Source organism: Homo sapiens, chromosome 11 (assembly GCF_000001405.40).
Source record: "Homo sapiens chromosome 11, GRCh38.p14 Primary Assembly".
NCBI lineage: Eukaryota > Metazoa > Chordata > Mammalia > Primates > Hominidae > Homo > Homo sapiens.
Window position 1 is genome coordinate 114,921,719 of NC_000011.10, and position 17,818 is coordinate 114,939,536.

Below are 17,818 nucleotides of genomic sequence, written 5' to 3' on the forward strand. Positions count from 1 at the left end.
TGCAGCAAAAGCTTTTTTTGTGCCAGAACTAAAGGGCACAGGTGTCAACAGGAGCCCCTTCCTTTAAATCCTTCCCTGGCTTTAATTCAGCCAGATGGAGCTGGCTTCTAATTCAGCCAATGTTTACTGAGTATCACCATGTGCAGCATGCAGAGATGAGTAAGACGTGGCCATGGCCTTCACAATCAAACTGGGGAAGTGGATGTGTAAACAGCAAAGTATCACACAATAAGGAAAATACCATTCAAAGGTGTGTACAAAGGATAAGTAAGTCTGCTTGGAGCAGTGAGGAAGAGGAAATGGTACTTAAGGTGATTCTTGAAATAATTAATAATTAATAGGAGTTTGTAAAATGGAGAGGTGTTTCTAGATTCGCTGTGCACCTCTCTCCCTCAGCATATGCAGGTACTCACTGTCCTTCTGTTGGAGAAGTTATATTTGGGATAAGAATCCAGTGCTTTCCCTTCTCTTGAGACTTTTTAAAGGCTCCTCCTGCCATGTGTCTATAATGCAAAAGACTAGGACAATGACTAAAATTTCTGGAGGGAGAAGAGCCACTCCTCACTCACTTTTACCAATTAGGTGTGGCCTCTTTGAGTGAAAGGAGGACTCTTCCTCTTTTTGCCATCTAAATTCTTACTTTTCTATTTTACTCTGAGGTTTACATAATTATGTCTCTTTTATGTGCTTGGAAGGAAGTTGCTGTTTGAATTGATCCTTCTCTGGGAGCCCCCATATGGATGGCTTTCTCTCTCTTTCTTTCTATGGTGTTAGTACCAGGAATTCTACGAAAAATTTCTTCATCCTCCTTTGTGCAGCTATTGCTTCCCATCATTCTTTTGTTCATCCAACACATATTTATTGAACACCATCCATATGCCTGGTCTGGGAGCTAGGAATACAACAGTGAAAAAACAAAATAAGTCCTTGCTCTTATAAACTTTACAGTCTGGTGGAAGAGATAGACCATAAATCATTAAACAAGTAAATATATTAACATATTGTCAGGCAGTCATAACTAAGTTCTTATGAAGAAAAACAGCAAAAAATGATATCCAGAATGTTGGGCAGGGGATTATGAGGTTACAAGTGTCTCTCTGAGGAAGTGACATTAGAGCAGAGAAGAGAATGAAGTAAGAGGAGAGGGGAAGGTTAATGGCTACTGGGAAGATGTTCCAGGAAACAAAGATGGAAAGTGGGAATATTCTTAGTATAGCTGATGAACAGACAGGAAGAGTGTGTGGCTGGAGTGAAGTGAGTAAAAGGAAGAGTGGTCATTAATAAAATCACCAGGACAGGGTAATTTAAGGTCCTGTAAGCTGTGTAAAGATCTAGGGTTCTATTCTACTTAAGAGAGATGCCTTTGGAGTGTCAAGGAGGGACATGCTACAGCGTATATCCTGAAGCTTCACGCTGGCTGCTCTATTCAGAATAGATGGGAGTGCGACAAGACAGGAGACTCATTAGGGCCTGGTATAGTAAGTTGAGCAACTACTGATGGCTTGAACTTGAGAGAGGGTAGGGAAGGTGTTGACAAGTGGTCATGGAAGATATTTTGATGGAAGAGCCACTCAGGCTTATTTAAAAAATTGGATGTAGAGAATAGAAGCATCATAATCTGTTTTGTGTTGCTACTGCAGAATACCACAGACTGGGTAATTTATAAAAAAAAATAAAGAAATTTATTTCTCAGAGTTCTGGAGGCTAGGAAGTCTAAGATCAAGGTGTTGGCATCTTGTGAGGGCTTTCTTGATGCCGCATCTTGTATGGAAGTTGTGAGAATAAGAGAGGTTGACAGGAAGGGGGCTGGACTTAGCCTTTTATCAGGAATCCACTCCCACAATAGTGACATTACTCATGAGTGTGGGGTCCTCATGCCTAATCACCTCTTGAAGTTCCCACCTTTCAGCACTGTTGCATTGTAAATTAAGTTTCCAACCCACATAAACTTTGGGGAACACATTCAAACCACAGCATTGAGAAAGATAAAAGTTAGGTTTGACTATGACTTTCAGACAAAGCAACTGAGTGGTAGTATCATCTAATGAGTTTAGACTGAGTGGAAAAGCAGGTTTAGGGTGTGGAATTGATGAAAGCAAGCTTGATTTGGGAGATTTTTATTAGACATTCAGTTGGTGACATTAAGTATGTGAAGGAAATATGGTCTGATGACTTCAAAGAGTTGGGCACTTTTAGGAAAGAGGATGAATAACTCTAAACACAGCTCTGAGGACAAAAGAAAGCACATACTCCAGCACCAAGCCTGGTAGTGTGGGGGAGTAGGAGCAAAAAGCCAATGTTTGAATGGGTTTTAGTGGAAAACAAAGTCATCAGGGAAGAGGATGGTTTAGTTAGAGCAAAATGGCAATAGATCTGTTAAAACAAGAGATTGAAGATTCAGGAGATTTTGTCACAGACAGAGCACAGTTCCACAGGGCTCAGTGGAAGACTTTGCAATGCAAGTGATGAGGCAAGAGGGAATCCATGAGCTTCATGCATCATGAATATGGAAGGAGTCTTAAGGCAATAAGATGAGTCATCTGTCCACTGGACCTCTTACCTCCAGGCAGTCTCTCCCTAGCACAGCATGTGTCTGGAGTCTGCAAACACTAGTTTCTCTACAATTCTTAAGGGAGTAATGATAGAACAACATAAGGGAGAGACCCCTGAATGAGGCCACTGAACAATTCCAAATATCCACTTCTAGGACACAAGTTCTGGGCTTATCAAGTGCATATCAGAACCCACTTGATAATAAAGGCCCTGATATTTATGGCTACACCCTGTTCTCACTAGTCTGTTTTCCTAAATGCCCCAAGGCAAGTGGTCTCCCCTTCCCAAGCTGGGGAAGGGAATATGGTTAGACCAAGTTCTATCCCAAGTCTTGTGGACAGAGGTTGAAAACACAAAACCACAAACTTAGAAGAGCTAACAAAAGATTACAATATATAGCAACTGCAAAGAAAAGTACCATTTTAGGGCACTGAAAGATGGGGCCCAACAGACAGGCCAAATCGTCAATCAGTCTGTAGGTGTAGAGAAATGGAAAGCTCACTGCAGTCATAGGGTAGCCAGTAAAGGCCACGGAGAAGGTGGGTCTCAAAGAGGTCCCCCAAAATGAGGGCATTCATTCAATCACCTGGAGCAGTGGCTAGGAGGCCGCCTGCCTGGATCTGCAGCCATCAATTCAGCAGTGTGCCTCTGAGTGAGAAAGAACCATTTACTCCTTATCATTATCCTTAATAATTCTAAATCAGGTGGTGATGAAAAACCAACTCAAAGCTCATTTCAAAGGGATGTAGAAAGGGGGAGAAAAACACATCAGAAAACAAATTCATCTTCTCCACACAGAGACAAAGGACTGGGGCTTGGTCCAGAGCTACAAAGACTGATCCTTTCAAGGCTGAGCTAGTTTTTCAAGACATTCAAGTCAAGTAGTGATAAAAATCCCACTATTCACTGTTATATTAATGGCTTCTCCACTATATGCAGATGCGTAAAAGCATCATATCTTTATTTGCATTTCTTTTTCTATTGCCTCCAGCTCACTGAATTTCTCCCTTATCTGCCAAGAAATGTCTACTTTCAAGGTATTCTTTCATTTCCTCATGCCATTGGCTGTCAAACGACTTAATAACTTGCCCATCATGGGAGTCAAATATAGTTTATTAAAAATGCATGTCTCACTCAATAAGATGCCCTTTGGTGGTCTTCAGACCTTGACGACTCTGTCTCAAAGCTCGGGAATGCAGAATGGTCTTGGCTGGCCAGCTGCACTGCCTTGCTTTGTATCATGCCTGCTGCCCAGATTATGCTGAGCCAGACCAAGAAGGGAGGCAGGAACTGTCCAAGGAGGGGGCAGAATTGGGCTACTTGTCTGACTTGTCTGACTAGGAAATGGGACCTAGGCCTGAGAACCCCAAGTTCCTGAGGGTTTCCAAGTCATCTGGCCAGGTCCCAGGGAAGGAATACAGGATAGGCCTGGTACCCTGAGAGAGGAAGGAGGGGGGCCTCTTAGGAAGGAATGGCATCAAAGCAGGAGTGGGCTGTGTCAAGTCAGTGCACTGGAATGATGAATCATGCCTGTGATGGCTCACATAGCAAGGCTACATCGCTATTTACAGGGGCTAATGAGGCATCTGCAGTCACAAATTCACAGAGTCAGAATGCTATGGTGGCTGAGGAGAAAGCAAGAAGCTAAAAACACAAAGGGAACTGGAGGTCACCTTTTCCATCGTCTGCCACAAGGAAGGACACCACCAAAACCATTCCATCTAGATAAGTTGACCCTTTTCCAAAACTGTCTTAGAGCAGCCCCATAACCTCTCTGGGTAATGTTTCCCAGCTGCTCATGGATCTCCTAGCCAGATCCCCATGGCTTCAGCTAATCCTTCACTCTTTACTTTTGCTACATATTTTTTTGTTCACATGAAAACAGCTGTATATGCCTCACCCTATACTGCAACCCTTCACCTACTTGCAGACTCTACTCAGTCCCCACTTAGTCTCCTCTCCTTGATGCCAATGAATCCCAAAATGTTTTGCAAGAGTATTTTTTCATTGATCTCCCCTAAATTGTTGTTTCTGGTTTTTCACTGGCTTATTAAGTGGTATGCCACATTGAACTCAGTCTACTCAGGAACACCCAGGTCTGCAGAAACAGGTGAAACACTCCAGTTTTTCTGCAGAACAGAAAGTAGATGCCACTCCTAGAGCAGAGACTTGGGGCTGCAGGAAGACCAAGAGAAGAGACAAAGGGGTTGATGGTAGGAAAGTGTTGCATACTCTACAGGAAGAGGGTCTGGAATCTCCCCCAGGGGAAAGACAAACTTGGCTATATGAGTGCATGAGGGGAAGATATCGACAGGATGAGGGAAAATAATGAGAAAGAAAAACAAAAGGAAAGAAACAGGGCTGGAGTTAGGTCATGAGACAAGACAAAGTGATATGGCTTGGCTGTGTCCCCACCCAAATCTCATCTTGAATGGTAACTCCCACAATTTCCATGTGTCATGGGAGGAACCCAGTGAGAGATAATTGAATCATGGGGGTGGGTCTTTCCTGTGCTGTTCTCATAATAGTGAATAAGTCTCATGAGATCTGATGGTTTTAAAAAGAGGAGTTTCCCTGCACAAGCTCTCTCTTTGTCTGCTGCCATCCATGTCAAATGTGGCTTGTTCCTTCTTGCCTTCCACCATGATTGTGAGACTTCCCCAGCCACATGGAACTGTAAGGCCATTAAACCTCTTTCTTTTGTAAATTGCCCAATCTTGGGTATGCCTTTATTAGCAGCGTTAAAATGGACTAATACAGTAAATAGATGAAAAAAAGTGTTGGGGAGAAGGAGATGAATAAAGGGGGAGCTGGAATAAGGTCAAGAGCCAGAGAGAAAGATAAAGACCAGAGGCCAGGGAGGAAATAGAAGGAGAAGGGTGAGTAAGGTGAGCCCTCGAACAGGGGGACAAAATCCATGGTTAGGAAAAGTGAAGGCAGAGCAAGGGTCTCTGCCTGGTCAGTCCAGGGAGAACTGCTGATCCTCTGTTGAGACCACCACCAGGAGAAATGCCCCAAGTCAAGCAGCTGGAAAAGCAGTGCACCAAGTTCCATTGCCTTGAACTTCCTTATCACCTGAAGTGGAGTGGGTCTAGGGGGGCAGAGGTAGTAAGGCACTGAGGTAGCATGGCCATGGCTGTGTCATGACCATCTCCTACCAGAAACCTCGGGAGACTGAGAAAATGAAGGGCAATGGGAAAGAGAGAAATAGAGGCCCACAGACAGAGACCTTGAGAGCAAGAAAGAGGGAGAAACAGAAGCCAGGACAGAAAAGAGAGGAATATAGAGGGATGGCAGAGAGTCTGATAAGAATGGGAAACATGACAAGAATGATTGGGAAATCAGAAGGGAAATTGAGAGAGATGTCAGAGATTGAGAGGATAGTGTGAGAAAAGGAGGTCGAGAGAGAGGAAGGAGAAAGACAGGGAGAGAGAGAAGATATACAGCATGGAGACAGAGCTGCAGAAAATGGAATCGGTTCTAATTCTGAACCTTTGCCAACATCTGAACTTGCTATTCTGATATCAGTTTTTCATCTGTCACTAAGACAAGCTGAAAGAGCTAAACTTTAGGTTTTCTTGATTATACAATGTTCCATTTTGATATGTAGCAAGGATAACTTCTCTGGATTCCTAAATGAGCCAAATACAATTAGAAAAAGAGAGAAACGGAAGAGAGATGGGGCAGGGAAGGTATATACTATACCATGAAGGATGAGGACTCCAGTTGTTTAGTTTCACCCTGCAGGGCTGAAGGAGATTCTTCCTTATGTATTAGTGTCACTCCTTGGGAGCACGGGGGTCAGCATCACATGAGGACATCAGTTGCCCTGGAGGTTCCCAGGCTGGCCTAACTGCCTGCAAAGTCTCCCTGTTACCTCTCTTGTTTTTGCCAAATGCCAGGTCAGGGATCTAATTTTACCACGACCTCATGCAGGTGATTTCTGCCCACGCAGATGATTTCAGTCTACCTGAGAGAAGCCAGGGTTGAGCTGGGTTAATGGGGAGCGGGCCAGGAATCCTGGGCCCCTAATCACCAGCTTCCACAGAAAACCTCACCAATGCCTGCAGCTTTTTAATTTGCAGAGCCGACTTTAGGACTCACTGGGGTGGTGCCGCCCAGAGAAGAGGCACAGAGGGAGGACAAGGAGATGGCAGCATGCTCCACTGCACTTCTCCCCAGAATGCAATGTGACACGAGACATCGGGAGATGGCAGTGAAAGTTCAAGGGAAAAACACACAGTTATTTATGGCTCGGGCATCTGTTGTCAGATCAGAAACAGAGACCTAATCTAAGACAAATCCAGCAGCCTGTACCAGAGCAGATGGGGAGGTGTGTGCAATGCTCAATCCTGTTCAATCCTCAATTTATTATTATTCCTCATCTCCAGATCCCATCTCCAAAGGAGACATTTGTCCTGGCTACCATGCCAGGAGCCCCAGTGGGTGGATAGGGGAATGAAAGTGTCCTTCTGCTGCATAGGTGGTTATTTCCATTGTGTGGCTTGGAGCCTTCCATGTGAGAAGAGAAGGTTTTGGCAAAATCCAAAAAGGAGACAATGAAAAAGGGAGCAAAAGGAAAATTCCAGCCCAAGAAAACCACAGGCTGAATGGAAACGGGATTGGCCTCAAGTCCAGAGATTAAAGACTCCAATCTTCTCTTGTCCTACCTGCTGAGTGACCTTGGGCAAGTCATTTTACCTATCTGAGTGTCCTTTTCGGCCAAATGTTTGAGATTTTGTAATTGTGCATTCCCAAAATTGCACACAGATGCCTGTTAAACCCGAGTGCAAATGAAAACATACAAAACGTGGAGTCAAGAGATCTGGGTTGATAGGGCTCCTCAGCTCTCTGCTCTCTCCCACATCTGGGGGTCCTGGGGGAAAGGGATTTGGGGAGGCAGCAGGGCCCACACAACCACTCTTGCTTCCCATCTTGTTTGTCCCCACAGTCACGAGAAGCAGCCACACTGAGGACAGCAGTGGAGGCCAAGGTAGTGGAGGGGGTACACCCCAGTGGCCCCCTTCCGGTAGCCTCCCTCCATAACTGAGTGGTCCACATATTTGCACTACGGGTTCCCCAGCTCCTTTCCAGGGAGAGAAGACAGGAGGTCCTGAGGGGTCTGCGGCCCCTCTCTGGGCATCCCTGAAGAGTCAGGACTGCTCCCTGGGCCAGGCTGCACTGAGAGCCCCCTGAGTCCAGCCAGCCCGGGCTCTCGGGCCCTGTACCTGCCTCAGGTCTTTCTTGCTGCAGCCTTCTCCAGCCCGGCTTCCACCCCTGGGGCAGGCGGCCCCTCCTGCCTTCTCCTGCAGGGCACCTCCCTACCTTACAACTCTCCAGGAAATGGTGCTCTCCTGCCCTGCCTCTGGCCCTACTCGGGCCACTGCCCCCTCAGCCATGTGGCACTTCTGGGCTCCTGACCTAGGCCAGGGGGAGGTTTCTGCCCCCTTCCCTCACCCTGGGCTACCCTTGGGCCCTGCTCCTCAGGCCACTCCCCGACCCCTGACCCTGGGGAGGAGACTGCCCTGGTCACGGCTGCCTGTGAGTCGTTCCTGACTCATCACTGTCCCCAGGTATACCATTCCTGCCCTCTCCTCAGCTGCAGTTGAAGGCTTTAATTTTGCACACTTGGGGATCACAGTTGCATCATTGTGTATTAACTAATCAGAATAAATCAAGCAGGTCTCAAAAAAAAAAAAAAAAGAGATCTGGGTTGAAGTTCTAATTGTTAAGTACTAGCCTAGTAATCGAAGGCAAAACACCTTTCCCTGCTGGCTCTTAATGGTCATAAAAGGCATGGGTGTGTTACGGGCACTTTCCTACTCTAAAAACTCCACAATTATTTAATGTGTGAGAAGAAAACCTGAAAATTATTAGAAGATGGCAAAATGAAAGAAGTCTGAGAAATTCAGATGCAACCCCTGATCTATGTTAGGTACTCAATGTATCTTGGTTGAATGAGCGAAGTCAGCCTCATTGGTGACTTTGGTGATTTCTGGGTCCCTGGCTTGTTGGGCCCAGTCCTGTCATGCATTGCAGACTCTTAGCCCCCAGTGAGGCAGGTAGACCCATAGCCTACCCTACCTCACCCTGGGAGCAATCCATCTATCTCACAAGACTTCTCACATTAGCATATGCCTGTCTCCAAGAGCAATCTACAGTAAGAGGGCAGAGGGAGAAAGAGGGAGAGAGGATGGGAGCTGCCTAGAGGAAGGAGACTGTTAAGACAAGGCTTGGAGGGCCTCGATTTGAATCTCCATGCCTGTACTGATTAAGCTGCTTTGCAAGATTTTTTCAGAAGGTGCTTTAATCTCAGGAGACACCTTATTTTGCCCATTTGAGATGCACCGTCTCAACTGAAAATATGCATCAATAAGCCCTATATGTTTCATTAAAAAGCAGAATTACATTTCCTAACCTGCCCATTTATACTTTGGTCAGTGTCCACTTACACTTTGGTCAGTGTCATTCAGAAGGCAATGCCTTCTCAGGGCCTGAAGCAGCTAAAGTGAAGGGGCTCAGCTTCCCTGAGAGAGCAGGACAAATAGACTTTCTCCTTGATCTAACTGCAGGCACACTCGCTGGGAGCTCTGGCCCCAGGAGGGCTACGTGTATGTGAAAACTGGGTAGTCTGATATAGTAATAATGATACATAAAGACCTGGAGCAAAGCTTCAGGTAGACAGATGTTTTGATTGACTAGACACAGGAGTCTTTGTTGCCAGTGCCTGAGAGAGGGTGGGTGAAGGGATAATCACATTTCAGCCCCCATTCTCGGGGGCTGCCCACTACTGCACCTCACCTGGGTGTTTTGCATTCCTCTGACAACCCAGGCAATCAGAAAGGACTTAAGGCTGCCAAGTAGTCCTTGTTAGTTAGCATTTGCAAGTGACCATGCAAGACCTCACTTTTCCCCAAGCTTTATTCCTTCCCTGGGGTATCTACCTGGAAGGGAAAAAAAGATATGATCTGTTGTCCCTAAATAAGGCCTGTCTGGGAAGTCTCTGGGGGTGCCTTTTGTGTTGAGACCAGAGGTCTTTCCTATGGTCCAGCCAGTACCTCTGAGCAGAGAGAAGTAGGGGAGCTAGATCTCATCACCCCAGGCTACAAGGCAGAAGCTTCTGAGGAAGACAGTGTCCACGTCTGGTAAGATGATGAGATGGGGCCTGTTTGCAGTCCTAGGCAGGCTCTTTCCACAGCCTGAAACTCTGCAGTTGATTTTGCCTATGTTGGCATCTGTTTGTAGCTTTCACCAGTGAGATGCGCCCTGTTTGCAGTCCTAGGCAGGCTCTTTCCACAGCCTGAAGCTCTGCGTTGATTTTGCCTATGTTGGCATCTGTTTGTAGCTTTCACCAGTAATGTCTGTCAATGGACTCATTATCATCAAGGATAAGAGATTAAGAAATTATGAATGTGTAGACACTTTTGTTTGCATCTAATGGTTTCTGTATTTAATGGTTTATTTTATTGATGACAACTGTCCTCATGTGCACTTTATAAAGTACAAATTGGACTTGTAGTTACTCTTATTTGAAGTTTCTCACCTCTATTATCTTTGACTTTTAACCACCCCTAATGAGGATAATAGTCATTGTTCAGATAAATAGATGATAGATATAGATAGATAGATAGATAGATAGATAGATAGATAGATAGATAGATAGAGATAGATAAAAAGAAAGAAATAATAAGGTCTCCAAGGTAGCAAGGGCTTTGGAAATTATGTCTATTAAAGGAGCTCATGATGTGTAGCCTGGAAAAGAGAGTTTAAGTGGGACATGATAGCTGTCAAGATTAGAATTACATTCTTTTATTTTTTTCTTCTCACTTTTGTCAAGTCTCTACTGTTTTATAAAATCTTTCATTTTAGGCTCAGGGATAATGTGCGGGTTTGTTTTATAGGTAAACTTGTGTCATGGGGGTTTGTTTTACAGATTATTTTGTCACCCAGGTTCTAAACATGGTAGCCAGCAGTTATTTTTTTCTGCTCCTCTCCCTCCTTTCACCCTCCCCTCTCAGGAAGGCCCCAGTGTCTGTTGTTTCCACCTTTGTGTCCATGAGTTCTCATTATTTAACTTCCATTTATAAATAAGAACATGCAGTATTTGGTTTTCTGTTCCTGCATTAGTCTGCTAAACATAATGGCCTTCGGCTTCATCTATATTCATTCAAACACCATGATCTTGTTCCTTTTTATGGCTGCATAGTATTCCTTAGTGCTTTATCTAATCTGTCATTAATGAGCGTTTAAGTTGATTCCATGTCTCTGCTACTGTGAATGGTGCTGCAGTGAATATTCACGTGCATGTGTATTTATGGTAGAATGATTTATATTCCTCTGGGTATAACTCAGTAATGGGATTGCTGAGTTGAATGTTAGTTTTGTTTTTAGCTCTTTGAGGAATCACCGCACTGCTCTCCACAGTGGTTGAACTAATTTACGTTCCCATCAACAGTATGTAAGTGTTCCCTTTTCTCAGCAACCTAGCCAGCATCTGTTATTTTTTGACTTTTTAATATAGCCATTCTGATTAATGTGAGATGGTATCTCATTGTAGTTTTGATTTGTATTTCTCTAATGATCAGTGATATTGAGCTTTTTTCATGTGCTTGTTGGCCACATGTATGGCTTATTTTGAAAAGTGTCTGTTCATGTCCTTTGCCCACTTTTTAATGGAGTGGTTTGGGATTTTTTTGTAAATTTGTTTAAGATCCTTATAGGTTGTCTGTTTACTCTGTTGATAGTTTCTTTTGCAGTGCTGAGGTTCTTAAATTTAGGTCCCATTTGTCAATTTTTGCTTTCATTGTGATTGCTTTAGGACTCTTCGTTGTGAAATTTTTGCCCATTCCTATGTTCAGAATGGTATTGCCTAGGTCATCTTCTGCGGTTTTTTAAGTTTTGGGTTTTACATTTAAGTCTTTAATCCAACTTGACTTGATTTTTGTATGTGGTTGTAAGGATGGGGTCTAGTTTCAATCTTCTGCATATGGCTAGCCAATTATCCCAGCACTATTTCTTGAATAGGGGGTCCTTTCCCCATTGCTTCTTTTTTTCAGCTTTGTCAAAGATCAGATGCTTATATGTGTGCGATCTTATTTCTGGGCTCTTTATTCTGTTCTTTTGGTCTATGTGTCTGCTCTTGTACCACTACCATGCTGTTTTAGTTACTATAGCCCTGCAGTATAGTTTGAAGTCAGGTAATGTGACGTCTCCAGGTTTGTCCTTTTTGCTTAGTCTTGCCTTGGGTATCTAGGCTCCTTTTTGGTTCCATATGAACTTTAAAATAGTTTTTAGAATTATATTCTTAAAACTATTTGTGAAATTGTGAAGTATAATACACATGTAGAAAAGTATGGAAAATAAATATATAGCTTAACCTATCATTAAGAAAGAAATTCATGTAACCATCACCCCCTCAAGACAAGATACATAGCATTGCCACCCTCGTCCACACCTTGCCTTCTCTACTGCACCATATTTTGGCCCTCAGTGGTAATCACAACCTCACAGTTGTGTCTTCTATGGCAATTAACTTTTTAAAATTTTGCTAATAGATTATCATCTAAATATGCAACCCAAACAATATATTTTTGCATTTTTGAATTGTATATAAATGGAGATGTATCTTATACTAACTTCCTTTGCTCAACATTGTGGGTTTTTAAGATTTATCCATGTTGTTTCTTGTAATTACGGTTTGTTCATTTTTGTTAGTGTATAATATTTCCCTTGCATTAACATACCATAATTTATTAATCCAACCTAATGTTAGTAAACACTTGGGCTTTTTCCAATGTGAGGCCGTTAAACTGACAGTGCTGCTATGAGCAGCATCATTTGTGTATCCTGGTACACATGAGCAGCCATGGGGTAAATATCCAGGAGGAGCATTTCTGGGTCATAGAGTTTGCATATCTTCAGCTTCATCAGATGACACTAAACACTATTTTTCAAGCTGATTGCTCCAATTTACTATTCCACTAGCCATGACAAAACTTAACTTGAACCTCATCTTTCTCCATACTTGCTATTGTCAGACTTTTATGTTTTCTGCCATTCTAGTTATTAATGAGGTTGAGCACCTTTTCTCTTATTTATTGGCCATTTACGAGTGTCATCCAGCCTTTTGTTCATGTTTTCATCAATTTGTCTTTCTTCTCATTGTTTGGAGGAATTACTGATATGTCATGAAATTAAAGTCTTTGTCAGATGTGTGTACATCAAATGTCTTACCCTAGCAAATGGCTTGCATTCTACACTTTAATGGGGTCTTTGGATGGACAGATTACAATTTTAATATTGTCATATATATAAATCTTTTCATTTATAATTAATTCATTTTCTGGTCTGTTTAAGAAATTCTTCCCTATGCACTTCAAATTCCAAGTTGAGATTTATATATGTACATTTAGTTCTAAAAGTAGAATCAGGACCAATGTATCTGCTGCTACAAGGAGCATATTTTCAATACAGAGAAGATTTTCCAACATTTCAGAGCTGTTCAATGAACCATCTTGCTCCCTGTCACCCAGGAGGTTTCAGAAAAGAGTGTGTAAAGACCCACCAGGGATTCTGTAGGGGAGGTTTTCCTTCAATGAGACCTCTATGGTCTATTCAAACACTAAGATTCTAAGACTCTAATTAGTTATAAAATATACTTTGATAAATATTGAATTATAACCAGTACGGGGCTTTAGCCGTGACATAAGTCGTGATGCATTTGAATGCTTATTAACATAAACAGACATGAATGCCTATATTCCACACTGTTTGTGTCCCGTATTGTGTCTTACCTCAAGTTGCCTGGCCCCAGAACTTCTCTTCCATTCTCATCTCCATACCTAGTTCACAGAAGCATACTCAGCCTTCTGCGTGGTCTATTGTTATCACTGGCTAAGGTTACAGGCAGTGCTAGAAAATAGGGTTTATTTCAAGCTGACTCAATGAGTGGTAGTTTCCTGGAGAGGAGGACTAGGGATGAGAAATAGCAGAGGCTGCCTGACTGGGGCTTCATCAGAATATTCTCAATATGGAGCACTGCAGTGAGATCTGCCCAAGGATGTAGGTTGCACCAGAGGCCCAACACTTAGCTGCTGGGGCTTCAGAGGGCAGAGCCCAGAGGTGGGCAGTGGGGCCTCTGCTAATGCTTGGACAGCAGAGGAGATCTAATCCTAATCCCCCAAACACAGATCTTTCCCAGGTCTGTTTGTCTTCCCCTAATCCTCTAATATTTAAAGCAATTTCAATCCTATTTGAAGAGACTTCCCAGCAGTTTGAGTCTGGGGCCTCTGGAGGTAGGTATGGAAGGAGGGGGAAAGAAGGAAGCAGGGAGGAGCAAGAGTGAGAGGAAGCCCTGGAGAGCAGGGGGAGGACTGAAAAGAGACAGGCTGCCAATACTGCCTGAATTACATCTTCCTGAAGCTACCTTCCCAAAGATGGCTTCTTCATGATTTCTGAGAGTGAGGATGGGAAGGGAGGAAGAGAAGGTGGGCCTTAGACTAAGATCTGGCCCTTGAATAAAGTAAGTTCATTCATTCATTTATTCATTCAATCAGTCAGTCAACAGAATACATATTGAGCACCTACTGTGAGGCTAAAGCTACATTGACCTTGAACAGATAACTACCAGAATCGTAATGATTACCAAAAAAAGTACAGAGTGCAGTGAGATCCTATATGGGCTACTCAAAGTTGAGACCAAGTCAGATGTGTCTGTAGAAGCAGAGACCTGACCATTCACTTGTATGCTATTTTTATAACCTTATCACTTGTGCTTTCTGCTCTTTGTAAAAAAAATGATTCCTGCTTCTTCTATTCTGGTGTCCTTTAGCTCTAGAGCCCTTGGCTTCTGCTCCATCAAATTGGACTAGCCAAAATTAGAAAATAATGTATTGGTCTCTGCTGGATTATGGTAGCTCATGACAAAGACCTGGGAGAAAGGAGTTTCCCAGAAAGACAAAGGGAGTGGCTCTGTCTAGAAAGATATGTGGTGGTCTAAGAATGGTCTCATTCCTTACACTTTGCCTTTTTTCAACAGACCAAGAAGAGGACACACCTCTAAGCAGGGCATCCTCATTCAAAAACATCTGCCTGTTCCAGGTTATTGAACGGTCCCTCCCTTTAAGCCACACCCCTTGCTTTGTAAACATTTAACTGACATGATAGATACAATGAATGGGTGGATGGATGGAGGGATGAGCAGGTGGATGACAGACAAATGGAAAAATAGATCTATCTTAGATAGGTGGATGATACATTAATTTCTCTAGGATTTTAAATGAGAAAGTAGAAGGTAAGATAAAAGATTGTATAACTACATAGAAGGCAAAGAACCGAAATATCATTTCAAGCAAAAACAAAAATCTCAAGCAGTTTTTATAAGAGAAGTGCAAGCGACAGATGCAGACCAAATGTACAATTTATTTAGAAGATTCCCTGAGGGCATTGATAGAAAAATGAGGAAGGAAAGCCAGTACCCATCAGTGTGAAGTCTGGCTAAGCATTTCTTTACACTCCTCCTTGATGCTGGGGCAAGAATGTAGGGCAGGATTTTACTGAGCAACTACTAATATTCTAATAATGCATAGAATGTAAGGGGATCTACCAAGAAATTTGCTTAAGATCTACAACATTAACCTTAAACCACAGTGTTCTAGTCCATCTCTGCCAACAACTGCCTGAGTAACCTTGGGCTGCCCCTTTAAATTACAAGCCTCAATTTTCTCATCTGCGAAATGGAGATGAGACCAGGATGTCTCTATGGTCCCAACTACCTCTGATATTCTCTGAGGCTAAGAAAAGGAAAACTACAGTAACACTCAGAGCAACAAGCAAACCTAGTATCTTGCTGGGTTCCCACAGCATCTTCCAAAGACTTTCCCAGCTTTAATCCTTCATGCTCAATAAGCATCCAAGCCAGAATCAGAAATGAGAACTTCGCCAGCCCTCCACCAACTGCATTCTGAGCCTATCTCAGCAACTTCATAAGTATCTCTTCCTTGCAAAGACTTTTAAAGCATCTAGCAATGTGTTCACATGGCCATTTTTAAAAAAATTTTCAAAATTAAGATGTTTTGTATTTCTTTATCCTAAAGAAGACAACTGGATCAGGTGCATCTGTAGCCCGACTCCAGGCCCCTCACCTCACATCTGATTTCAGCCCTGGCTGCAGTGACAGGTCTGTGCAGCTTTTGCCTCACCTCATGCTGACATCGTTTCTCTGTACATCTTTTGCTTGCTGTCCTGGGGCTTCTCCAGTGCCCTGGTGACAGGCTGGGCATGGGCCCACTGCATTGACCCCCTCTCACCAAGGCTGATCTAGCTGTGGTTACTGCTGAATGTCAGGAGCAGAAACCAACGCTGAGATCCCAAAGTGGCATCCTACATTGTTGGAGACACATCAGCCACTTGTGGCAAGTGGATTACATCGAACCCCTCTACCCTAGGAGGGACAGTAATTTTCCCTTCTATAACTGACACCTACTCTGGATGTGGGTTTGTTTTTATCACCTGAAGTTCTTCTATCTGAAGGCTGAAGAAATACAGATTTGCTGACATAGGATTTGGTATGATTTGGATATGTGTCCCCACCCAAATTTCATGTTGAACTGTAGGTGGAGCCTAGTGGGAAGCAATTGGATCACAGGGGCAGTTTCTCATGGATGGTTTTGCACCATCCCCTTGGTGCTGTTTTTATGATAGTGAGTTCTTATAAGATCTGGTCTTTTAAAACTTTATGCCACCTCCTCTGCGCCCTCTCTCTTTCTCCTGCTCCACCATGTGAGAAGCCTCACTCCCCTTTTGCCTTCCAACATGATTATAAGTTTCTGAGGCTTCCCCAGAAGCCACGTAGATGCCAGCTTTATGCTTCCTGTACAGCTTGTGAAACCATGAGCCAATTAAATCTCTTTTTAAAAAATAAATTACCCAGTCTCAGGTATTTCTTTATAGCAATGAGTGAATGGACTAATACAGAAAATTGCTACCAATAAATAAGGAATTGCTAAAAAGATACCTGAAAATGTGGAAGCAACTTTGGAACTGGGCAACAAGCAGAGGTTGGAAGAGTTTGGAGGGCTCAGAAGAAGACAGGAAGATGAGGAAAAGTTTTGAACATCTTAGAGACTGGTTAAATGGTTGTGATAAAAATGCTAATAGTGATGTGACAGTGAAGGCCAGGCTGAGGAGGCCTCAGATGGAAACGAGGAAATTACTGGGAACTGTAGCAAAGGGCACTTTTGGTATGCCTTGGCAAAGAACTTGGTTAGATTGTCCCCTGCTCTAGAGATCTGCAGAACTTTGAACTTGAGTGTGGTGATTTGTTTCGGGTATCTGATGGAAGAAATTTCTAAGCACCAAAGTGTTCAAGATGTGGCTTCGCTGCTTCTGACCACTTATGCTCATGTGCATGAGCAAAGACATGACCTAAAATTGAAACTTATGTTTAAAAGGGAAGCAGAGCATCAAAGTTTAGAAACTGCGGCCTAGCCATGTGGTAGAAAAAAAAAAAAGCCCATTTTCAGGAGAATTCAAGTGGGCTGCTGAGCAACCACATGCTAGGGAAAATTTGTATAACTACAAGGAAGACAAGTGCTACAGTCAAGACCAAGGGGAAAAGGCCTTGAAGGCATTTCAGAGACCTTCACAGCAGCCCCTTCCATCACAGGCCTGAAGGCCTAGGAGGACTAAAGGGTTTTGTGGGTCAGGCCCAGGGCCCCGCTCAGCCTAAGACAGTGTTTCCTCATCTCAGCTGCTCCAACTCCAGCCATGGCTCAAAGGTGCCCAGTTACAGCTCAGGCCACTGCTTCAGAGGATGCAAGCTGTAAAACTTGGTGGCTTCTATGTGGTGTTAAGCCTGCGGGTGTGCAGAGTGTAAGAGTTGAGGCTTGGGATTCGCCACCTAGATTTCAGAGGATGTATGGAAAGCCTGAAAATCCAGGCAAAAGCCTGATGCAGGGGTAGTGCCCTCATGGAAAACCTCTACTAGGGAAGCACAGAGAGGAATATGAGGTTGGAGCCTCCACACAGAGGGCACTGCCTAGTGGAGCTATGAGAAAAGGTCTACCATCCTTGAGGATAATAATAAAGACTTACTGAACAGTACCATATGCAAATATTTTTTAAATATTTGTTGAATTAATGAAGAAATACCTCACAAGGTTGCTTTGAGAACTGAGTAGGATAACTTAAACACTACAAATGACAGCTAAGAGCATTCTATCCTCTGACTTTAAAGAAAATTGACTCAGACCATCTATCTCACATT

The 17,818-nt window shown here is 43.3% G+C and overlaps 1 annotated feature.

The window, feature by feature from the left end:
* Window positions 7,831–8,331: an enhancer, noted in NCBI's record as "H3K4me1 hESC enhancer chr11:114800269-114800769 (GRCh37/hg19 assembly coordinates)". NCBI's record gives its function as "activates a minimal SCP1, AML or CMV promoter by ChIP-STARR-seq in primed H9 embryonic stem cells {active_cell/tissue: H9 hESC(primed)}" and the evidence as "EXISTENCE:reporter gene assay evidence [ECO:0000049][PMID:30033119]".